At 52.0% G+C, this 25476-nt stretch overlaps 1 protein-coding gene and 1 pseudogene across 11 annotated transcripts in view, besides 2 other annotated features; both read right to left on the minus strand.

Moving 5' to 3' along the window:
• The window catches only part of GLIS1 (GLIS family zinc finger 1), a 232926-nt gene that overhangs the window by 180188 nt on the left and 27262 nt on the right, over positions 1-25476 (minus strand). The gene's annotated exons all lie outside the window — the stretch shown is intronic.
• Positions 2323-2386, minus strand: RNU7-95P (RNA, U7 small nuclear 95 pseudogene; annotated as a pseudogene).
• Positions 7548-8174: an enhancer, noted in NCBI's record as "H3K4me1 hESC enhancer chr1:54159647-54160273 (GRCh37/hg19 assembly coordinates)". NCBI's record gives its function as "activates a minimal SCP1, AML or CMV promoter by ChIP-STARR-seq in naive H9 embryonic stem cells {active_cell/tissue: H9 hESC(naive)}" and the evidence as "EXISTENCE:reporter gene assay evidence [ECO:0000049][PMID:30033119]".
• Positions 25156-25356: a silencer, noted in NCBI's record as "peak235 fragment used in MPRA reporter construct". NCBI's record gives its function as "represses an SCP1 promoter by STARR-seq MPRAs in K562 erythroleukemia cells {active_cell/tissue: K562}" and the evidence as "EXISTENCE:reporter gene assay evidence [ECO:0000049][PMID:32103011]".

Genomic DNA, 25476 nt, shown 5'->3' on the forward strand with positions numbered 1-25476 from the left:
AAAGTGGGAAAGAAGGTTAGGAAAGAGAGCAGAGGTCCTTGTGAGCACAGGAGAATGGTCCTTGCTTGGTTGGTGGCAGACCCTGAGCTGGACCCTGGAGGCACAGATGAATCAGATCCTCTCCCTCTCCTTGGGAAGCTCACAGACTGTGGGGGGAGGCAGCGAGGGAAGCAGATAAACTGGAATGCAGGGAAAACAGTGCTCATCTCTGGCCAGGGGAACTGACTCTGCTTGAAAGATACAGGAAGGAGTCCAAGAGGGAGCATCTGAGCTGGGTTTAAGAGAGAAATAGGAGCTCTCCAGCCAAGAAAAGAGTGACCATGCAAAGGCACAGAAGCATGAGAACGTGTGACGGGTTCAGAGGATGGGAAATGTTCCAGGTGGCCTGAACGGTGGCGGGGGTGGGGCAATAAGTTTGCTGTGGCCAGATCACCAAGGGCCTTGTCCACCATGCTAGGGAGATGGGACTGTGGCCTGCAGGATCACCGTGTCCATCACCTAACTGAACTTCCTGACAGTGTTGAGCCCTTTCTTTGCCCTGGTACACAGTGGATTCCAGAGCTGTGTATAGGAGGCTCCCAAGAGCTACTCCACTGCCAGTGAGGCCACTGAGGCTCAGAGAGGCCAAGTAACTTCGACGAGGTCACACAGCCTCCGAGGGGCAGAGCATGGACTGGAACCCGGAATCTCCTGAAGTTAAGGAAAGGTTTTCCCAGGATGAGGCAAACGAGAGAATCACTGTGGGAGCAGAACCAGAGCCAGGCAGGAGAGCTGGACTTGGAAGGGGCCGCTTGCCTCTTGGGCAGAGGAGGACGGAAGTAGTCCCAGCTCCCAAGGCCCTTCATACCCTGCAAGGCACCACCCGCCCACCTGGGTCTCTCAGACATTTTTAGGGGGTGGGCAGTGGAAAGAAAGAAAGAGTCTCCTAAGGGATTCCCATGGAGTTCTTTCACTAATTATTTACTCCCAGTCATTCCAAGGACAACATCTATCACCCGGTCCAACCAGCCCGCCCCGCTTCACCAAGCCCGTGTCAGGCCTCGCACAGTTGAGCCCCCACAATAACTCCTCATGGAAGACCCGAGTACATCCCCGCTCTCCTGTGAGAGCCGAGGAGCTTCCTGAAGGGCCCCCTGCTGTCGGGTGGTTCTGTGCGTTCTCTTCCCCAAACCACAAGGTCTGCTTACATGCAATGGGTCCCCCCAGCTAGGAAGGGGCAGCACCAGGTCAGAGCCCCCGCCGCCCACCACCCAGCCAGGGTCTTCCCATAGCATCTAGCCACCTCCTTCACGAAGGGACGGACAGTGGGCAGGAGTTCTGGTTAACGGGGGTTCCAGTTAACCAGGTATCACAGGGTGTTCTCTGCCCCAGGCCCCCATGTCACCAGGGGACAGTGACAACTGCTCCCACTTGTGCAGGCTCCCAGGCACAGGTGCTTGACCTCCCCGCATCTCTCACCCCAACTCGGGGAGCTGGTGGCGTCCACCACATCATAGATGAGGAAGAGTCCTAGACGCAAGCGGGCCCGGCTGTGCCCCTAGCCCCACCTCAAGCCCGGAGGACCCAGCCTCTGGCCCTCCCTGGAGCCATCAAGATCACCGTGCTGTGCTGTCGAGGCTGAGGAACCGGGGCTGCCTTGCTGGAGGCCAGACTGGCCCTGCCCCAGCGCGTTTCCTGCTCGGCAGGCTCTGGCCCTGTGTGTGGCGTGCTGACACCCGCTCTCGGTCCCTGATTCAAGAAGAGCACCTCACCAGACTCATTCGTTTCTGTTTTCTCTGCAAACATCCCCACGGGCTCATCGCTCCCTCCTGTGCCCAGGAATGCGAGTGTGGGCTCATGGGGGATAAATCCGTCTGAGTCTGTATTTTGACTAGTCCCTACAAAATGTGCTCTGAGCACTTTGCAGGGTAGAGGTGGGGAAAGGGGAAGACGTGGCGGGTGGAAGGGGGCTCTCCCCTCGTGCAGCTGTGCAGTCCTGCCGAGCCAGGGACTAGGGACTACACCCAGTCCCCCAGCCTCTGTGCCACCTTTCCCACCACCCTCTCTGCTCTCCTGCCCATTCCTTAGTGCCCGGGCCAAATGCCCCCTCCTCCACAAAGACTTCCCTGGTCTCCCGACTGGGAACTAGGATGTCCTTCCCGAGCTCCACAGCACATTCCTCCTCCCTGGTCTCACGCTGATGGGTGACTGTCTTGCTTTCCCCAGGAAACCCTGAGCTCCTCCAGGGCAGGCCCACAGCCCCCATACGGTGTCATGTACAGGAAGAGGTGCTAAGGAAAAACCTGCTAAATAAGTAGTTTTTAAATTGGTTTTTGTGTGGGGGGGGATGTTTTCTGGTGAAAACCAAAAAACCTGCCAGAAAAATTCTAAAAGGGCTGCACCACTCGTTTTTCAATTTTTACTGAGTGCCTGATCTTGCCCAATGGCAGCGAATTCATTTGGGGGCACCTTGAGGACACCTGCTGGCAGAATCCATGAAGGCCCAAGAGTAGTGCAGAGGCACCAGCCACACCCCCAGGCCAGACTCTGGGCCAGGCATGGCTGGGGAATAAAACTGTCACAGTAGTCTTAGAACTCCAGGGTCCACATTCTTCCTCAAGCCCCCTGCTTTCAATAGCACTTTGTGGATGGCTGAGCACATTCTCTCAGGTCGTTTGATGGTCTCCTTACACTCCACCCTCACAGGGTGGGGCAGGTGAAGAGACCAGCCCAAAGGTACAGTTGGTCCATGCACCTCAACACTCATTCAACAGTCATTAGAAAGAGAGACGTGGAGAGTTTCAATTCAGAGCAGTAAGTGCTGTGATGGAGCGAAGCAGGGGCCAGTGGACATACAGAGAAGCCACAGCCCAGTCAGAGGGAAGGAGGCCTCAGAGGCTTCACAGAGGCACCACCTGCCTGGGCAGGACTCACAGCAGCTGCCCTCCTTCTCCTGGCAAGAAGCATTTACCCTGGCTGGGCTCTGGTTCCAGTCCTCCCTCCTGGCTGCAGCCCTCCACTGTCTACCAAGTTGACCCACCTGTTGAGTCCCGTGTATCTTCCCACCCAGAAACATCCTGAGCTGAGAGCCGGCCAGACCAGAGCAAGTGACCACAGAGACAGGGAGTCCCAGCAAGATCTGCACTGTGACCTTTCTGCCTGAGAACAGTAGAAGGCAAGCGCTCAAGAGGTCTTCATTCTCAACACTTAGCCCAAACAAAGACTTACTTCTCCATTTGGCCACAGGCAGTACCAATGCCCTGTGTGATGCTAGGCAAACCGAGCCCCTCTCTGGGCCCACAGTAACAGCCTGAGACCAGACCTCCCCTGTCCAGGAGCATGGCATCTGTGATGTGTTACCCCCACCAGGCCCCTCTGAGAGGCATCTCAGCGCCCATTACTGGCCCCTGCAGATGAGGTCCTAGGAGCTCAGCCTGGCCCTCAGGCCCCTGGCCCTCACCAGCCTTCACTTGCCCACATGTGCCCTTCAGAGCCGGTTTATCCCCACCACTGTGCACCTCTGGGCTACACGTAGTGAGCGGAATGCCTTTCCCCTTGCTGTCAGGCCAACACAAGCCTATCTCTTCCCAAATGAAGCTCTCTCACACCTTGCACTGGGCTCCCTGACCCTGAGTCACACTGTGTGGTCATTATCTGATACCTGGTGGCCTGCCCCCTCTGCTGTGAGCACCCTGCGTCATGCCTGAAGCTGATTTATCTCTGGATCCCCAGCATAGGCTAGAAAGGGTAAAGAACAGGAATCAAACATCAACCACATGTGCACAGTGATGGCATCAGGCCAGGGAGCCTCACCGCCCAGCAACGCTCGGCACCACGACACCGCATCTTCAGGGCCACAGGCAGGGATGGCTCACTGCCCCAGGCTCCGCTGCCCCCATCAGCGCATGATGGGGAAGAGGGTGGTCTCCAAGGCCCTTGTTCTGTGAAGACCTGTGCTGCAGGACACAGCTGGGGCGGCTTCCACTGGCCTCATATGAGACATGGCGGGGGCTGCTTCAGGAACCAAATCTCAAATGGCCTCTGCCTGAACTGGCCGCCAAATGGTCAGTTTGGAGGGTGGAGAAAGGACACTTTAACCACAGCACCTCTTGGCTTCAACGTCTGCATCTGGCAATGGACATGACAGAACAAGCAGGACGCTGTGGCGCAGCCTGCGCTGTCCAGTGCTGTTCAGAATGCCAGGGCCGTCTCTCTTTCCCTCAGTCATCCAGAGAGGCAGGCAGGGCAGCGATGATTAACCCCTGTTTTCGGCTGAGAAAATGAGACTCAGGAGGCAGGACATTTGAACTGGCCTTAACAGACAGAGAAGGAGGAAAGGGCATTCCGGCAGAGGGGTTGGCATCACTGGAAACAGGTGATGATGTCGATGTGAGAACTGTCCAAGGGTGTGGCTGGAGCAGGAATAATAAAAACCAGGTGCCACTCCAACCGCTTTGCATAAATCTAGACATGTAATCCTCACAACAACCCCTTGAGGTAGATACAATTATGTCCCCCTTTTTCCAGCTGGGGCAACTGAAGCACAGGTAATCTTCCTGACGTTGTCCAGCTAGCAGTGAAGGAGCAGGGATGAAGCAAACCCAGGTTCCAGGGTCCACATTCCTCCTCAAGCACTTGCCCACACTGCCTGTCAAAAAGGAAGGGAGAGACCAGGCGCCGTGGCTCATGCCTATAATCCCAACACTTTGGGAGGCTGAGTCAGGAGGATCACTCAAGGCCAGGAGTTCAAGACCAGCCTGGGCAACCCAGCAAGACCTCCATCTCTACAAAAAATTTTGTAGAGATTCAGGCTAGGGCGCACTCCCGCTGTGTCCCTCCAGCTGTACCCACAGTGGGAGCTTCAGTGCCCAGGCCCAGCCTCTCTCACCACCTGCTGCCCACTGATCCCCATCTGACCCAGCCCTGCTCATCTCATCATCCCCCCTCCCACCACCACATGAGACACACATAAACCTAAATCCATGTTCCTCAAAGTCTGGCCTTTTGCCTGTTGCCCTCAGAATCCTGGGCCCACTCTGGACTCCATGAGCAGAATCACTGGAGATGATGAGGACCCCGGGCCCAGGATCCCAGATTCACACGGACTGGGAGGAGCTGAGCCCCCTGCTGCTCCATGCTCTCCCACGTCCATGAGCTCCTCCACCACTGCTCCTCCTCCATTCCCTCTCCCTCTCCCAACAACCGCCTCGCCTGGAGCTTCCACACCTTTTCCACCAGCCACTCCCTGCAGCCACTCAGCCAGCATCAAATCATACACTGGCCGAGCTTCGGATTTGCTAATAAAGGGTCCTTCATTTCTGCACAGCTCCACCTTACTGAATTTGCAGTTTCTCTAAATGGCCTCTATATTCCTTTCATGGCCAATCCTGACCTCCCTCCTACCCCCACTCCAACCCAGGGTCACACCCACCCAGCATTACCAGGTTCCACAGTTAAACCAACTCCGCCCCAGTGACTGTGTCTCTGAAAGCATAGAGAGATGTATATTACCATTACTCTAGTCCCACCATGGCAGCAGCAAGGCCCATATGGACAGGAGTCGTGGAGGAGCGGGGAGTTCCACACCTATAATCTAACCTGGAGACAGTGTCTGGCAATTTCACACCCAGCCTGCAGCCCACTCTGCAGTTCTCCCTATCTCTATTAAATACCTGACCCCTCAAACTGCCTCCCTTTTTCCTAACACAAGCTTTCTTTTCCTTCTCATCCAACCTCTCTTTTTCCCCACCTAAAGAGGGAAGGGTTTGAAAAGCTATTTCTAAAACTACTATAGAACAATAAAGCCCCTTTGAACGAAGCACACCACGTAATGAGGCTTAAACTCACTGCCAGATTCAGCATCCTGGAGCTCAACCCTATGTCATATCCTTGCTCAAAATCCCTCCATGGCTCCCCACTGCCTGAAGAGTAAAAGGACTCAACACAACCATAAAATAGCAATGGTATCCAATGTACTTGAGATGTGCATGGAAAGAATGTGGTAATAACCTGAAGGACGTAACGATAACAATAAACATAGCTAGCAATTATTGAGCACTTACTGTGTGCTTTACACACATTAATGTGTTACCCTACAGGGTTACAGTAACCTTCACCCAGCCTTGCCTGGTGGGTGCCACTATTGTCCCTGATTTAGAGTTTGGGGTTGTGCTGAGAAATGGAGCTTCCAGCAGCCCCATTTCTCAGCCACTGTGGGTGTAGCTGGGGGAGGGATACTGAGGGTGTGGGCTCTAGCCTGAGTGGAAGTGGGGGACCCTGACCCAGGTGGGGGTGAGTTTTTGGAGGGCTTGGCTAGAAGTTGGCTGTGAAGAAGGGAAGTTGGGGAAACCCAGGCCATCCTAGCTCGGGCCTGCTTTCTCCCCACTGGGCTGGAACCCCACGCTTGCCCAAGGTCCCTGCAGGCCCAGTTCTCTGGATGGTAGGCACCGCCACCCTAAGCAAACCCCAAAGTCTTTGAGAAACCCACTCAATCTTCACTGGCTGGACTGGCCTCTCTGTCAATGGACTCCCAGGGGCCCATCCCATCCCAGGAAGCACCTCCAGAGCCCTTTTCTATCCCTCTACATCCATGTCCATCTTTTCTGAAGGAAGGTATGTCCCTCACAGGTGCACAGCACTTCACAGTGTGAGGGTGCTTCGTCGAGACCTCGTATCAACCCAGACAGAGAAGCAGGGCAAAGTACATTCCACTCTGCAGACAAGGAAATCATCGTGGCTCCATATGTTACACGCACTGTTTCATAATTTAATCCTCCCTACAGCCCCTTCTGAGACTATTATCCCACTTTACAGATGAGGAAACTGACGCAGAGAAGGGCTGTAACTTGCCATGGCCCCATGTCAAGTCAGTGGCAGGACTTGAACCCAGGTCTCCCTGGGGGCATTCAGTCTCTGGAGGCCACCAATATGGCCAACTTAACCTCAGAAGATCCATCTTCCCTGCTGCTGACCATCCCAAACCTTCTGGACACCCAGCCCTCGGGGGCAGGCATCTGGCCAACCACTTGAGATGGTTCTCAGCAGCCCCTGTGGCCAGAGGCCAGAACTGCTAAGTCTGGCTCTGGCATGCTCCCCCAGCCACCACATCCCATCCTGGTCCCACAGCACCCCAGCCAGAGCTGCCCCCACAGCCCAGCCTCTCACCCCCGCCCACAGATCCAAATTTCCATTCCCTCAGCAGCATGAGCTCAGTGGGGAGGAAGGCAATCTGATTACAAGCAGTCCCGGCCTCGGGGTCGCCAAGGGTGTGGGCATCATAAAGCAGGCGCTCTGGCGGCACTGAAGAGGGGAGGGGATGGTGCAGGAAGCCCGGGATGTCGAGGCCGGGCTCTGTTACCACCGCACTGGGTGGCCTCCTGAGCCTCAGTGCCCCCACCTGGAAAGCGTGCCTTTTCATCGATCGCTGCCTTACCTAACCCTCCAGATGGCTGTGCCGCTCAAAGTGACCTTGATGAGAAGATGCTTTGGGAAACAGGAAACATGACGCAGACATGAGGAGGCTGTGTCATCACCGTCACTCTGAACCAGCTTTCCCTGAGCGCCTGCCTGGGCCAGGCCTGACGGTGGGCACTGGGCTCACGAAGAGGAGGAAACAGTCCCGGCCCCTGCAGTCTACTGCCTGGTAGGGGAGACAGGCAACAGGCGGCCACCACACAGGTGCCCAGTGCTGCATGGAGGGACACTCTAGGGACTGCAGGGACCCAAAGAAGGGGCTCTGGCCCAATCTGGGGTCAGGGCAGGTCTAGGATGGCCCTGAATGAGTTTGAAAGACCAATGGGAGTTGGCCAAATGGAGGGGGTGGGCCCTCTAGGTGAGAAACGGCAGGGGCGCTGGGGGAGGGGTGACAAGGAGAGAAGACATCAGCAAAGCACACAGCACACCGTAGGTGCTCAGAACGCGGTTGTTCTCTTCCCCTCCCCATACCTCACCCTGTGGACTCAAGTCCAAGCTTATACCTCCTCACTCCCTTTCTGCGAGCCGGCTGGCCCTGCCAGGGACCCTTTCTGCCTTCTCTTCTCAATGGGCTGCACCCAGTGTCCCTGCTGGCCCAGGAAAGCCCTGCTGACCTGACCTTCTGGGTACCAAGCTGGGCCCAGCCCATGAATTAAGCTCATGCAGAGGGGGCCCTGCTGAGGCGGCAGCACCACCCAGGAAGAAAGCCCAAGCTGGGCAGACACCGCTGGGGTCCCAGCTCCACCTCCTACAGGCTGTGTGGCCTTGGGCAGGCTGCTCAAGGGCTCGGACCTGGGACTTGGGGTAGAAGGAGTTATTACAGACTGGGCTACGTGGGGCACACAGCACAGTCCTGCACACACACTAGCAGGAGCTAAATTCTCACTATCATAGTAAATTAACGCTGCCTCAAAAAATCCAGGCTGTAGGGTCACTTGGTAAGCATGAAATGTTGCACAGGACAACGGTACTGGTACGGAAGGGTGGCTGAAAACATCGGCGGCTCCGATCGTGCCTGCAAACAGCCACTGCACTCCAGCCTGGGCAACACAGTGAGACCCCAATCTCTAAATATACGTAAATATATATACTGGCTCACTACCTCCCCAGACACTAGGGACCACGGCCAGGCAGCAAGTGGTTCCTAATAAGTCAGGGAAGGCAAGTCAATGAAAACATTACAATCCACAGTAGGCCCGCATCTGTTTAAAAAGCCCTGTGTGTGTAACGAAGCCCTGCAGGCCGACTGTCAGCTGGGGTGGGGGTGGGTTGAGGAAGAGGAAAGCCCCCAGGCTCTGCTACTCTCAGCTGCTCTGGACTGTGCGGCCCAAATCCCCACTTATGTGACCACAGGCCGTCATCTCACCTCGAGAGCTTGCAGCTCCCATGTGTAAAAGGGGAGTGAGAGGCCTCCAAGTTCATGGTGCAAGTCTAAGGGGAGGATGTGTACGAAACACTAACTGGTAGTGAAGCATGAAGGAGCGGCATGAGAGAGAAGCAGAGGTCAAGGGGAGTCACTTCCAGGCTGGGTGAGCTGAAGACTAACCAGAAGAAGGTGACAGACAGGGCACTACGGCAGCGACTTGTCTGTCCTCAGCCAGCCAGCTGGGAGCTCCCTGAAGGCAGGGACCCATCTCACTGGTGCCATGACTGCCACATAAGTAGCAGGCACCGAGCAGTGAATGTCCAGCACAGCGGAGGGCTCAGCCCGACCCTGGGCCTCTTCCCTCCACCCTGTGTCCTGGGAGGCCCCAGGTCCAGTTCAGGAAGGCAGGAGGGGCGCGGGGTGGTAGACAAGAGCTTGGAGCCCAGAGCCAGAACAAAGGAGGGGAGATGGCCTGGAGAAGTGTGCCGCACCGGGACCCAAAAACTGGCTTTTACTGAGCACCTACTGAATACAAGGGTATTGGGTTTATATACAGTGTTTCATTTAGCTCTAGCAACTACCTCTAGAAATGAAAACTCTTCATCTGTTAAGATGGATTAAGCAATGTAGCCAAGATCACTCATCTTAGGAGAGGCTCAGGTCTGCCTGACCCAGGGGCCAGGGGCCTTTCCTGGCCCTCTTTGGCCCCTAGCTGTGGGTGCCAGAGCATCTCTTGAGAATGCAGGCAGACTCGCAGTCAGCAGGCTGCACTCCAAGTCCAGAAATGTCTCCAATGCATGAAATCCCCAGGGCTTCTCCACTCCCAGCAGTTACCCCTGCTTTACAAGGTGGGACAATTCTGAAGGTTTCCCTCCCCTCAGGGAGCTGGCGAGCTCCAAGCGGTTAATGCTTTGCTCGGCACAGGCCTGAGTTTAATAAAACTAGAAGCAGCTAATGGCTAACAATAAAAAATAATATTTTTCCTTCAAGCAATTAAATTGTAATATAGATCTCACTAATTCCTTCCTGTTCTTTCCCTCGAGATCTCTGATCAAGCACCAGAAGAAATAAATTATGCATCACTATTCCCCACTTGAAACTCAAGTTTTAAGGAATCTAAGGGAGAAATATTGCCTCCTTCATTAAGGCAGAAATCTGAGGATTTTTAGAGGTTTCACGTAACAAGTTACCTTTCTGCAAACACAGGATCCACGACCCAGACCCATCTGAAAGATCGAAAAATGCACCACTTGCCCTTTCTCCAAAGAACCACAGGGTGTGAAAATTAGTCTTACCAAAGCATAGCTAAAAACTCTCCATGGCCCCCTCTACCTACAGGAAAATAAATCAAACTCCCCCACCCTCACCCCACCCGGCCATGCTCATGAGGCCCTCCAACTTTATTTCTCTCCTTCCCTCCACGTGCCCTTCCGTGCAGCCAAGCAGAGCTCACTGCTGTCCTCATACGTGCTGTCTGCTTTCCCACCATTACACTTTGCCCATGCCGCCTGGAACTCCCTTCCCGCCAGCGCTCAAGGGCCCACCTCCCACACGGAGCCTTGCCTGCCTCCCCCAGCTGGAACAGGTCATCATCCACTCTTGGAACTCCTGCAGAACTCTGTCTCTTAAAGACTTTCGCCTTTCAACCCTGGCTGACAGCCTCTCGAGATGGCCACATGAGTCTGGGCACAGAATACCTTCCACGTGGCATCCCCATACAGCCCCTCTCGAGATGCCCCTTCATTGTGCTTAGCATGGTGACCAGTATTTTTATAGGAGGTGTGTCCATATTCACTGGGTGGATTCATAAATGAATTCAATAACCACTGAGGACTACTTCTCTCAAGACCACGGGAGGGAGCTGGGAGGAGGCAGGACAAGAACTTTTGGACATTGTCTGGATAGTGGGAAGACGGTCACAGCAACAAACCCCAAGAATGACACAATAGCAGGCTCTGTAAGGAAAGTGGAGGAAAGACAGCAATGCCAACCTGAGTGGGTCACCCTGCCCAAAATCCTTCAGAGACTCCCCCTGCCTACTGGCAGAGTTGGGACTTCCTTAGCTTGGCATTCAAGGCCCTCTGAGGTTCTCACTCTGCTGCCAACTTTCATTTCCTATTCCAGTTGCTTTGCACATGCAGTTCCTCCCCACCGTTCTGCCTAAGGGACCTCTCTTCACCCTTCAAAGCATGGTTCAGTGCCACCCCCCCAAGTCCCACCCTCCTCTGGGGGCCACTGTCTGTTCTGGGGCCTCCCCTTACCCAGGCTGTGAACATTCCTGGGACAGGTTCAGGATGTGATCCACCCCCAGCAGAGATCCAACCCCTGCTCAGGGCTCGAGAAGCATCCATGGAGCTAAACTACACAGCAGAGGAGGAAGGAGAAACAGCTCTTCTGGAAGGACCTACCCATCCATCACACTCCTTCCACAGTCCAGCTAACACTTATTTAGCATATACTCGGTGCGGACACTGTCCTAAACACTTTTGCACGTATTGCCTCACTTCATCCTAGCAACAACCTAGGAGGTAAGTGCTACTACACTTTTACTGATTATTTTACAGATGAGGGAACAGAGGCACAGAGAGGTTAAGCAACTTGCTAAAGTCACAGAGCCCATAAGAGGTGGAACTGGGCTCAGAGCCAGTGGTTCTAACCGCTACAACGAACACTCTATGTAAAATACAAGGACGTGTATTGGGATGGGGACAGAGCAGGGTTATTCTAGCAACCAAAGCCCTCACGTTTGAAAACCTCCCTGTCTCCACATCCGTTTCCTGACATCTGCCCTCTTCTGTGCTGCCCAGGCCAACATTCCGAGGACTCCCCACCCCACCCACCCCAATGCCCCAGACCAGACAGCAAACAAACAGGAAACAATTAAAGAACCAACCAGAAAGTCTCATAAACTCTCCCAGGAACACGCCCTCCCAGCTTCAGTGCGAGATGTCAGAGCTGGGGAAGGACCTTAGGCCACAGCTCTGAAGACAAATGCAACAGGCAACATCCCCTCGGAACGCACTCCAGAGGATGACGCAGAAGGAGTTCCAGGCAGTGATTTTCCACCTGGAAGACTTCCGAGTCCCTGATGTCAAGGAACAGGAACAGGAGCCAACTCGAGCCTCTGCTTCTACATCCCCTCACCCTCCCCAGAAGGCAGCTTTTGACTGCAGCCTTCCCTGTAACCCATGGTTCTCTCACTTAGGGTCCAAAAAGCTGTGAGGAAGACTGGCTGCCCTGCCTAGTCAGCAGGTCATCTTCCTGGTCTGCCTTCCAAGCACGCGCCACTGCTTGTGGGCACTGGCCCCATTTCCCCATCAGGGGTGAGATATTTGTGAGCACAGAACACCAGCCCTTGGCCAAGCCAGGGACCTCTGTTCAGCCCTGCCACCTGGGTCCGGGTAGACCGAGGCTGCTGCCAGAAGAGAGCCACTTCCTGAAAGGTCCATGGGCAGAGCTTCCAGCCAGGGATGCCCTCCAGACCTGCAGCCACCTCTCCACCAGGCTTTCCCTGTGTTTCCCTGCCATAAAAACTCAGCCACTTCCACAAGCATGCCATTTCATGGTTTACGAGCCCATTGACCTAGATTATCTCATCTGACCCTCATCACGAACCTGTGCGGGCAGCACCAAACCCCACTGAGGAAATGGGATTGGAGACTGAAGTGACTTGCCCAAGGTCCCACAACTAATAATGACCATCAGAGTCATAAAAGGAGCCACCCAAGAGTAACAGTGCATGCCACACACTGCACTGTGCTATGAGTTTTACAGCCATGATTGTTTTTTGTTTTGTTTTTTGTTTGTTTGTTTTTTATTTTTATTTTTATTTTTTTTTGAGACAGAGTCTCATTCTGTCACCCAGGCTAGAGTGCAGTGGCATGATCTCGGCTCACTGCATTCTCCGCTTCCCAGATTCAAGCAATTCTCCTGCCCTGGCCTCCTGAGTAGCTGGGACTACAGGCACGCACCAACACGTCCAGCTAATTTTTATATTTTTAGTAGGGACAGGTTTCACCATGTTGGCCAGGCTGGTATCGAACTCCTGAACTCAGATGATCCACCCACCTCGGCCTCCCAAAGTGCTGAGATTACAGGCGTGAGCCACCATGCCCAGCCGATTGTTCTTGATGCCTGATCTTAGTCTGCTCAGCTGCCATGACAAAATACAAGGTCAATATCCCTTATCCAAAATGCCTGGGACCAGAAGTGCTTTTGATTTCTTTGGACTTTGGGAGATTTGCATTATACTGACCAGTTGAGCATCCCTAGCCTGAGAATCCAAAAATCCAAAGTCTGAAATGCTCCAACTGAACATCACGTTGGCACTCAAAAGTTTTGGATTTTGGAGCATTTCAGATTCCAGGTTTTCAGATTAGGGATACTCAACCTGTACCATAGAGTGGGTGCCAAAACAACAGAAATTTATTTCTCCTGGTTCTGGAAGCTGCAAGTCCGGGATCAAGATGCCAGCATGATTGGTTTCCGGTGAGAGGTCTCTTCCCAGCTTGTGGACAGCTACCTTCCCACTGTGTCCTCACATGGCAGGAAATGAGAAAGCAAGCTCTCTCATGTCTCTTCTTGTAAGGTGCTACTCCCATCCTGAGGCCCCCACCCTCATGGCCTCACCTAATCCTAATTACTTCCCAAAGGCCCCATCTCCAAATGCCATCATATTGGTGGTTAGGGTTTCATCATATGAACTGAGGGAGATATACAACCCTAAAACACAGAGAGGTTGAGTGATCAGCAAAAGGTCACAGAGCCAGAAGAAGGGCTGGGACTCAAATCCAGGCTTCCCTGACCCAAAGCCAGGACTCTGAGCTGGGATGACTCTATCAGGGGATGGCAGAGGCCACTACACGCTCAGCCAGGGTCTCAGCCCACTGTACCATGCTACCTCAAATGGGAACATCTACAGTGCGCAAGGCCCTCGGCCTGGAGGAACCAGCAGACGATGGAGTAGTCAGATGCTCCTGCTCTGGATGCGCCCCCCAGGCCACTGCCAGCCCTCACCTCCCCCTCATCACAGCCCTGTGCCACAGAGTCTCTCCTCCTCCTTTTCTCCCTGTTTTCAGGTAAGGAAACCAAGACCTAGAGGAAGGGGCAGGAATGGGAGGGTACGCGGCTCCGTGGCTCCAAAGCTCTGGGTTTCTTCCTGTGACAGCATCTGTGAAGTGCATACATCTCGGCCCAAGACAGGCTGTCAGGAAGGAAGGATGGAGGGTAACATGAACAAATGCATGGCCTCTGCTCGTGTAAATGCATGGCCTCTGCTCGTGTAAATGCATGGAGCATGCGTGAGGGTGGGTCCCAGAAGGGGTGGAGGGGTCAGATCCTGCAGGAGTTTGGTTTTTTGCTCTTCTTTTTAAATTTGAGATACAATTCACATATCACAAGATTCACCCTTTTAAAGTGCACTATTTAGTGGTTCTTACCGTATTCAGAGAGGTGTGCACCCATCACCACTATCTAATTCCACAACATTTTCATCACCCAAAAAGAAACCTGTACCCATTAGCATTCACTCCCTATTTCCCCTCCTCCCAGCCCCTGGCAACACTAATCTATTTTCTGTCTCCATAGATTTACCTGTCCAGGACATTTCATGTTAATGGATTCACATAACATACGACCTTTGTGTCTGGCTTCTTCCACACAGCATAACGTTTCTAAGGCTCATCCGTGTTGTAAGATGTCAGTACTTCATTACTTTTTATGGCTGAATAATATTCCATTGCACAGATATACCACATTTTGTTTATCCATTCATCAGCTGATAGATATTTAGGGTTGTTCCCACTTTTTGGCTATGATGAATAATACTGCTATTAACATTTTGGTACAAATTTCATGTGGGCCCATGCTTTCAGTCCTCTTAGGTGTAAACCTAGGAGTGTAGCTGGGGGGTCAAATGGTAACTATGTCAAATGGTAACCTTTCGAGGAACTACCAGACTATTTTCCCCAGCAAAAGCACTATTTACAGTCCCACCAGCAGGGAATAAGGATTCCAATTGTTCTACACCCTTGCCAACTCTTGTTACTGTCTTTTTGGTGACAGCCATTTTAGTGGGTGTGAAGTACCATCTCATTGTGGGTTAGGCAGGGTTCTGAACTCCCGACTCAGGGAAAGTCTTCTTCCCCCAAGAAGAGGAAATTTGGGATTCAGAGCCTCCCAGAGCTCCCAGCTGTCCAACGCCCTCCTCCGCTGTCAAAAGGAACACTTACTGAGAGTGCTCATGGCGTGCCAGGTACTGTCCTAAGCCCTATTGTGGCCCCATTTTACAGGTGCAGAAATTGAGGCATAGGAAGAAATGATTGCCCAAGTTGGTAAGTGGTAGAGTCAGGATTCAAATCTAAGCTAGAGTCTGGCTGCAGGGCCCTGGCTCTTAACCACCAGGACCCTCTGCCTCCTACGTAGAGACACTGCTGCAAATGCACTTTGTTTGAAAATGAAAGAACTGGGTTGGGTGTGGTGGCTCATGCCTGTAATCCCAGCACTTTGGGGGGCCGAGGCCAGTGGATCACTTTAGGTCCGGAGTTTGAGACCAGCCTGCCCAGCATGGAGAAACCCTATCTCTACTAAAAATACAAAAATTAGCCGGGCGTGGTGGTGGGCGCCTGTGGTCCCAGCTACTCTGGAGGCTGAGGCATGAGAATCACCTGAACCCGAGAGGCAGAGGTTGCACTGAGCTGAGATTATACCACTGCACTCTAGCCTGGGTGACAGAGCAAGGCTCTACCTAAAAAAGAAAAAAAAAAAAAAAAAAAAAAAAGAAAGTCCAGCTTCCTCCACAGTCAGCCCAGGCACAGAGCTGGCATTTAACAAATGTTCATGGAAGGCAGGCAGGCTTCCCGTGTCCCCCCTCCTGCATTTGCCCATGTAGGTGACTTTGATGGCAAATCCCTTTCTACTCCCCACCATCACAGCAGCAGGGTGCTGTGGGGTCAGAAGGGGCTATGGCTGGAACTCCAAGGTCACTGCTCCTCCCCTCACCAGGCTGCCTCTCCAGGAGGATGCCAAGGCTTTCTCCTCACCTGTAAAATGGGGATAAGAATAGAACCTACTCACAGGGCAGTGGTGAAGAGCAGGTGAGCTGGCACACAGAAAGTGCTCAGAACAGTGGAAGACGCAGGGCAAGCATGCAGTACACATTAGCACACATGAGCATGAAGAAGCCTCCCCCGGCATCTGCCCCCGGGTTCCAGGTAGGGAAGCTGTGGCCTCCTGGGAGAGGGTGGCAGGGGTTTCCAGATAGGGCAGGAACAGGAGAGAGAGACGGCTGACCCAGAGCCACCTGGCCACAGGCCAGAGTTTCCCTATCACTGCTCTGGGCAGGTCACACTCATAGCAACGACCTCAGATAGCAGGATGTGAGGGGAGGGGGCTGCTCTCCAGGGCAGGGGTTACGGCCACTTGACAGTCTGCCCTGAAATTCAACCCAGCCCAATTAATGAGGAACGACTGTGTCGACAAGGTCTGCCTTGGGACCTCAGCCACAGAAGACTCTGGCCACATTCTCTGCATGGCCATAAAACAAAGAGCCTACCCTGACCAGTCTGCTAACACCCACCCATAGGCCTCAGGATCTTGTCTGCAGAAACGTGGCCTGCCCACAGGGCTGTGGGAGCATGGCACTGAAGGCCACCGTGGCCTGTCCTCATGAGGGGGTTCTCCTGTCCCCCAAAAGGCCTCTGCTGAGCACCGTGGCATCAAGGCTCTCATCTGCTCAACAGATCTTCTCTGGCTTCAAAGTCGGCCAGACCCAGGCTCCCCAATCTCTGCTCTGCCACTCGCCAGCATGGGCAAGTGGCTTCAGCTCCTTGAGCCTCTGCTACATTAAATGTAAAAACTTACCCCATCCTTCCCTGGCAGGGCTCTGGTGGAAGCCGACGTTTACTGCATGTTTGGTCTGTGTTTGGCACTGTTCTATGCATTTTCTATGTGTTAACCCCACTTTATTTTCACCACCACTCTACAAAGTAGGTACTATTATTATCTCTATTTCACAGATAAGAAAACAGAGACAGAGAGGTATAAAGGAGACTCATACATGGGGCACCTGGTACAGGCCCTGGCACCTAGAGCTGCTCAAAAGCATGAGTCAGGCCAGGTGCAGTGGCTCATGCCTGTAATCCCAACATTTTAAGAGGCCAAGGCAGGAGGATCGTTTGAGGCCAGGAGTTTGAAACCAGCCTGGGCAATATAGCAAGACCCCATCTCTAAAAAAAATAAATAAAAATTACCCAGGCATGGTGATGTACAACTATAGTCCTAACTACTCAGGAGACTGAGGCAGGAGGATTGTTTGAACCCAGGATTTCAAGGCTACAGTGAGCTATGATCACACCACTGCACTCCAGCCAGGATGACAGAGTGAGACCCTGTCTCTAAAAAAAAAAAAAAAAAAAAAAGCATGAGTCCTTACTTTTCCAAATAGATCAAGGCAATAGGACAGCCCTTGACCTAAAGAGACCACAGAGCAAACTAGTCTCCAAGCAGCCCTCGACACAAACCTCCTAACCCAAGGCATTCAGAGCCCAGAGGAAGGTGCTCAGAATACTGCCTGCCTGGGCCGGGAAGGCTTTCCAGCCCCTCACTGGTAAAATTGGTGCTGAATGGGCCCATCACTACACAGACCTTCAGTAGCCTCACAACTCAGTGACCATGTCCAGCAAGACACAGGGCAGGGGGAAGCACTCCTGATCCCTCCACAACCAAAACCGCACACATTTAAGCCTCTTAGATTTTCCTATTTTAATCAAGCCTAGCCCAGAGCAACATTCTTCAATAAGAGGGATTTGTTTAGCTTGTTCTGAGAATCAGTGTTGCCTACTAAACAAACAACCCTTCTCCCTCAGTGGCACTTGTGCATTTAAGATGATATGTGGCCTTTGAAAAGTCTTCTCTCCCACTTGGAAGAAATGTTTGCCCACAGCCAATGCTGCAGAAATTGGGGTGCTCTCCCAGGACCACCGTGTCAAACAGCACCTTGCCGAATGGCACTTTCCACCAGTTCCCACCTGCTCACTCTCAGCCTACTTTCCACCCCTTAAACCAATTTATGGCAGGAATAAGGCAGGCATTAGCAATCCTGTCTTACAGATGAAGAAATCAGGGCAAAGAGAGGGGAAGTAACTTACCCAAGGACACACAGAATTAGCGGCAGGGCCATTCGCCTGCTTGTTGAGCCAGTCCCTGACCTCAGGGGGTCTTTTAATTCAGTGGACTCCCCACCTTGCACCACACACAGCCCTGCCACCCTGGGCCTGGGTGAGCAGATGAACAGTGGTGAGGAAGTGGGAGGGAGGGGAAAGGAAGGGAGAGAAGGGGTGGGGAGGGGAGTTCATTTAGGACAGAGGGAGCTTGAGGAGCGTAGTGCTGTGTGAGCCCATCGCTTTCCATCTCAGGGAGCCCAGGGTCTCTCCAAGGGAAGCCGGAGGACAGCCTGGCCATCAGCGGGGCAGACCTCAGTTTAGCCCCTGGCTCTGTGGGCTCTAGCAGCCCCCAAACCTGGGGCAAGTCACTTCCTCTCCAAGCACTGGCTCGTAGTGAGAGAGAGCAGAAGTTAAAGGAGACAACTGCTCTCTGTAACCCTCCACATGAGGCATGATGGTTGTTAGCATCACTGAATTTACAGGGGTTGCAGCTTGCCAGCTGCTTTCACAGGCACCACCTCATGGGAGGCAGAAAAGAGAGTCTCCTCCCCATTTTGCAGATGAGTAAAGTGAGGCCAGGGGAGGAGACATGAAGAGGGAGCGCATGAATTCACACCTGCCCCCAACACGTACCTAACAGCATTGCGCCAAAGAGTGAAGGAGGCATTTTGCTTTTCAGGGCTTTTCCTAGGCCTCATGCTGCCTCCTGGGAAGATCTGGCACATTCTAACTCAGTGTCGGGGCCCAGTTCAGAACTTCCACAGCTACTATCGCATTTGACTCCCACAGCTACTATGTATCATACAATGACACTGAGCCCTGGGAGGAGAGAGCCACCTGCCCAGGGTACCTCCTGGCGAGCGGCAGATACAGCCAGAGGGTAACTTCAAGCTGGCTGACTCCAAAGGCAGCGTCCCCATCCCCACAGATTCCTCCCTCACTCTGCATCTAAATAAAAACCAGGCAGTAAATCTCCAGGGAAATGGCAAGTGCTGATCAATACAGGATCTTAGAGAAAGTCAATGTTGCCAAAAGCAAACTTTTCCTCTTGGGGAGTTGGAGCGGGGAGGAATCTTTCCTTCTCTCTTCTCTGCAGCTTCTGCTCCTATAAAACAACTGGTAAGCTAGTTAGACGTCCTACTGAGACATTTTAAATATGAAAAGAAAATCCAATCTTGCTCTCATTAGTTCTCAGGTCACCTGCCACCAGGTGTGCAGAAAAGAAAAAAAAGGTGAGTTTTCTGGCTGTGCTCAGTCCTGGGTCAGCAGCTGCCAACCCCAGACTCCTTCTGAGACAACAGGAGGCAGAAGAAGGGAGGAAAGGGAAGAAGGGAGGTGAGGGGAGCCTTCCATCCCAAGCTGTTTCCACTTTTTATATTTACCCAAATCCTTTAATTAGCCTCTGCGGAAAGACTCCCAATTAGGCTAATCCTGCCACTGAGCTTTCCCATCAATGCTCCCGGGAAGTCCGAGGAAGGCCAAGGTAATATCCCAGGTCCTGGTGCAGCAGTCAGCCAGGCCAACCCTTGCTGACCATCTGCTGTCCCCACACCTCCCACCGAAGCAGCCTCGGGAAAGGCTCTGGAATCAGAAGGACTGGATTCTGCTGCCATCCTCTATGTGCAGTGACCTTGAAAAGTGCCTCAGTTTATCTTTAACAATGACAATAATATTGGCTAATGTACTCTGGGGCACACCTAAGAGATCGATACTATTATTATGCTAATTTTACAGGTGACCAAGGAAACAAGGCTTAGTGAGGTTAAGTAACTTGCCCAGTGTCAAAGACAGTGAATGACAGAGCGGGGACCTGGAAGCTTCCTACAAACTGCAGTCAACATTCTTAGCCCCATGCCATTCTGATTCCCCTTCAAGATGGTAACAGCCTCAGAGCTGTTAGGCTGACGGGCTGGTCTCTGTAGGAAAGCACTTACATGACAGAGTCTGGCACACAGTAGGTGCTCAAAAAAGATGCGTTCTTTTCCCTTCCTTCTTTCCTAGATGGTTGAGAGGAAGAGGGGCTCTTTCTGTCCTTCTTCAGACCTCTATGCAGCCTAGGTCCCTAGATGGGAAGTGGTGACAAACAGTCCTATCCCAGCAAAGGGACCGCCTGCCGCCTTCAGCATTTTCTGCAACCAGCTGAGGGGGTGACTCCACCTTCAAGGCCCCACCAGGGACCACTTCCTTCTCTCTGAACCTGGCCTTTCAAAGGGGCTTTCATTTATCGGCCTTTAATGTCTCACATGATTTAATCGGAAACACGTGCCTTGTAAATATTGTCTGTCATGTTCCATTAGGTTCACAGGGAAAAGTACAAGTCAATAAACAAAGGTTGTAGCATAAATCTACCTTGAACACATAATACCTCAAATAAGAAAATCAAAACACATGTGGCCTCTGACCCGCAGAGTTTCATGAGCAGGAACTCGGGGTATACTCAGGAACATTTCTAAATGTTCATAATTAATAGGGAAGCTGGGGCTGGTCCGTTTGCATAGTGCACGAAAAGCCCTTCAACAAAAGAATCTGCCTCACCAGCACCTGTCAAATCACAAAGTGCTCCTGGCTGGACCAAAACCTAGATTTCTCCTATGCAGAAAGACTCCTAGAGCCCCAGAAGCTTCTTTTTTAAAAGTAAGGACATTCCCCCCGACCCATTTTCCTCATATGGGGGATGCAGGAAAGGATAATAGGATAAAAGCCCTCCCTCATCCCTTCCAGTCCCCTTCCTTCCCTGGCACCTTCCCAGGCTGTTTTGAAGCCCTGAAATGGAGACAGGGGAAGAGGGGAGAAAGAAGATAAGGATGAGGTATGGGAAGTCACATAACCTAGAGCTCAAGTCCCGGCTGCCATTTAAGACCATGAGGCTGTTATCTGTGACTTGTCTGATCCTCGTCTAATAGGAAAGCAGTTAACAACAACATGTTCTGTTGCAGGATTCTTGCTATTAAAGAAATCAAAACCGGCCGAGCACAGTGGTTCATGCCTGTAATCCCAGCACTTTGGGAGGCCAAGGCGGGTGGATCATGAGGTCAGGAGTTCAAGACAAGCCTGGACAATATGCTGAAACTCTGTCTCTACTAAAAATAAAAAAATTAGCCGGGCATGGTGGTGTGCGCCTGTAGTCCCAGCTACTCGGGAGACTGAGGCAGGAGAATCACTTGAACCTGGGAGGCGGAGGTTGCAGTAAGCTGACATTGCACCACTGCACTGCAGCCTGGGTGACAAAGTGAGACTCCGTCTCAAAAAAAAAAAAGAAATCAAAACCATTTATTGATTTTTTTTTCCCAAAAAGAAATGAAAGTGAGCATTTACTATCTTATCTTTTGTACAGATAGGGTCTCAGTATGTTGCCCAGGCTGGTCTCAAACTCTTGGGCTTAAAGGATCCTCCTGCCTCAGCCTCACAAAGTGCTGGGATTACAGGCGTGAGCCACCATGTCTGGCCAACATGTATCATCTTAAATGAGATACTGGACAAAGATGGCACTCGTGTACCCCTAGTGTGTGCCCCACACACTAGGCTGGTGCTTTCAGACATGCAAAGCCATCCAACCTGATGAAGCTCTCCCCAGAGCTCTGAAAGGAAAGCAAAGCACCAGGCGCGGTGGCTCACGCCTGTAATCCCAGCACTTTGGGAGGCTGAGGCAGGCAGATCACAAGGTCAGGAGATCGAGACCATCCTGGCTAACACGGTGAAAACCTGTCTCTATTAAAAATACAAAAAAATTAGCTGGGCGTGGTGGGGGATGCCTGTAGTCCCAGCTACTCAGGAGGCTGAGGCAGGAGAATGGCGTGAACCCAGGAGGCAGAGCTTGCAGTGAGCCGAGATCGCATCACTGCACTCCAGCCTGGGCACAGCAGAGGGAGACTTCATCTCAAAAAAAAAAGAAAGGAAAGCAAAGCTAAAGACAGCTTGACAGAGTGTACTCAGTTTTCTCATAGGCCAAGTGGGGGTAGTACTTCTTCCCTGACAGGATTGTCACAAGGATTATTACTCAAAATAGTATTAATATATTCAAGAATGCCACCATGAAATATAATATTATTATGTCTCCCCTTTTAATTGAATTCATAGATCTCAGAGTCATGGTCCAGGAGATTTTGCAACTCATCTATTCCAACCCCTTCATTTGGTGGTTCTGGGACTGGGGCTGAGTGTGCACGGGACTGGTGTCGCCTAGCAAGTCAGCAGCCAGGCTAATTACCATTTCCTGGGCATCAAGAAGGCAACTCAGGAACAAAAGGCACGCTGGCACAGGTTTCAGCAGGTCCCCCAGCTTACTTCCAGGCCCATCCCCAGGCTGACCTCTGGCTTCTCCTCCCCAGGAAGTTCTCCCTGGCTGCCCCTCTGACCACCTGCAGTCCTTATGGATAAAGTGCACTCCATCCGGAACACAGCACACACTGGCAGAGCTGGGGAGCGTTATCTTTGTGCATACCTGTCTCACCTCCAACAAGGCTGCAAGCTCCCTTGGGGAGCCTGCCCGTACCCAGCACACAAGGGGCACTTACCACAATCATTATTCATTCATTTACTTGTTTACTGGCTCCTCCACTAGAATGTACACTCCATGAAGTGTGTACATTCATGGAGTACTAGTGTACTCCTCCACTAGTACACTCCATGAAGTCAAAGATTATCTATCTTGTTCACCACAGTATTTGACTTTGGGTACAGAAGGGCTCAACAACTATTTATTGAGTATATGGATTTGTTGAATAAATGAGAGTAGGATCCCTGTCCTATGCTTCTGTGTTTACAGAAGTCAGAGACGGAAGGGACTTTAAAATCAAGTCCAAGTCACTCGCTTGCCCCAGAATCTGATATAGTGCCTCGCACATATTGGGATCTTAAAAATATGCTTGTTAATTTAAATAGTATGAAGTAAATATAAATTTATATATTTACTGTATAAATATACACATATATATACATATATACATATATATACATATACATATATATATACATATATACATATATATACATATACATATATATATACACACACACACACACACACACACACACACACTTGTTGATGGTGTGAAGGTGAATGGGTTGATGGGTAAGTTGGTGATTCCTGGCAGTTAAATGGCTTCCTGGCTGGTTACATAGATGGGTGGGTGGGTTAGACAGCTGGGTTCATGAATGGGTAAATGGGCAAATGGACAAGGAGGTGTACAGATGGAAGGGAAAAACTCATTCATATTTACTCTCCGATCTGATTCATTTTTAAAGGAAAGTCAGGGTGTTGATGGGCCCTCCTTAATGTCAGCGACAGAAAGCCACACCCACTTCCATGAACCCCCCAGAGGCAGTTCCCATTCATCTCTGCATAGTGTAGTGCAGAGCTAGAGCAGAGTACATGACAGGCATGGCACAGGTCTGCTGCTCAGTGACTGGGTGGGTGGATGAAGATATGGATGTTCACACAGACGGGCATGAAGACAGAGTGGACAGCTGAATGGGTGAAAGCCTTATTGTTGGGAGACTGGTGGAGGGACAGGTACAAAGGGACATGGGAGTCCCCACAGATGTACAGGATGGGAGGGGGACACTTGTACAGAACAGGTGGGGTAAAGTACAAGTCACCAGAGACCTTTGCCCACATCACAATTTCCCTGAGGATGCATGCTGCCCACACACTGATGGTCCACCAGCTACAAACCCCAGCTGGGACTGCCCATTCAGCTTGGAAGAGGAGCCCCTTCTTTCTGAACCCCCAGAGAATCCAGGGTGCTGCCCTAGGCTCTCCCAAGCCCCCCAAACACCACCCGTCTCCATCTCTGGGGGGCTTTCCGAATCATTCCCCACCTGGAGGCATCCCCCTCTAGACTGTAAATGAAATATGCAGCCCATGGCCTTTCACATTTCACACCTAAGAGGTGGGCACGGCCGCAGGGCCATAGCGTGGAGCCCCTGGGGGCTGTGCAATACGGTGGCCCTGGTCAGACGTGTCACATCCTCTCGCATGCTTTATCTCATTCAGTCTTCATAACAAGCCTGCAAGGCAGGTGGTCTCAGACAGACGAAGAACTGCAGCTCAAAGAGGTGAAGGGACTTGCCCAAGGTCACGCAGTGAGAGGACCAGTCTTGCTGACTCCAAATCACACACCCTGTTGCTTACAAATTCCTCCAAGGTTCTGTATCATTCTTCATGGGGACAATAACACCTACTTCACAGGGAGGATGAGAAATTTTCAACAAGAAGCACCTAGAATGGTCAGTCCTACCCCTCTGCCTGCTGGGGCTGGAGAACCCCTGGGATGCACTCTCCGAGCTCCTCCTGCAGGCTCCCTGGCCCCAGGTGGCTGCGAAGCTCCAACACAGGGCCTGTCACGCTCGTGCAAACGTGGTGCCTCCCACAGACCCCCAGCACATGTGGGAAGCCAGTGCCAGGCACCCTCCCACGCATGTGAATGTTCCTAAACAGAGTAATTAGAGTGGTGTTTAGGTAACTTTTACACAGGCCCCCTAATCAGAATCACATGTGGGAAGGAGTCAGCGATGGTGGCCGAGCTGGAGGGGCTGACCAGCCCCTCCCCCAACAGAACTGCCACCCCTCTGCCTTCCTGAAGTTAAGTTTCTCTGACTACACCCACCCGTACCCCACACCCCAGGACTGAAACCACTCACACCCTATCACAGGCCAAAAGGAAAACACTGGTGGGTCCAAGGCTGAGCCACCCACCAGTACCTCTATAGTCACAGCACGGCATACCCCAAGTCAGACACAGAACCGACCTTCGGACCCTCTACTTGAACTGCCCTGTAAACCCCAGAGATGAGGAAACTAAGGAAGTAACTTGCTCATCCAAGGCCACACCAAGCGCTTGGTGATCACCACACCTGTGTGATCTTCCCAGAGCCCAGGCCTAACCATGTCCTTGCCCTGCATGGAAGCCTCTATCATTACACAGTGTACACATGTATCAGACCATCACAGTGGACCCCATCAGTATGTACAATCATCATGTGTCAATTAAAAACAAAAGAAAAAAAGAAGGTAAAACTTAAAAGGTAAATAAATAAATAAACAAATAAATAAAAGCCTCTGTGCCTTCCTGCTGCCTCCAGGTTCAAGCTGACCTGTGTCTGCTTCTCCTCCAGGTGGGGAGAGCACAGCAGGGAGCTCGGGCCCCGGGGTCCGCCAAGCTAAGTTCAGAGCACAGCTCTTTCTTTTATTAGTCCTTATGCAAGTGACTTCACCTCTCAGAGCCTTAGTCTCCTGTCAGTTAAACGGAGATCACAATAGGGAAAAGAACTGTTTCATTAGCCCAATGGAAATCTCTTGGTTCAGTGTGTGGCATGTAGCATAACCTTCACAAGTAGCAGTCATTGTTATCAGTTAACACTTTCCCAAAAGAGCACTAGCTGTGGCATCACAGAGCCATGGGTTTGGAGTCTAGTCCCTCCTCTGATTTGCTGTGTGGCCTTAAGCAAGTCACCTGGGATCTCTGGGCTTTAGTTTCCCCATTCATCTAATGGGAA

The sequence above is a fragment of the Homo sapiens genome, chromosome 1 (assembly GCF_000001405.40).
Source record: "Homo sapiens chromosome 1, GRCh38.p14 Primary Assembly".
Lineage (NCBI taxonomy): Eukaryota > Metazoa > Chordata > Mammalia > Primates > Hominidae > Homo > Homo sapiens.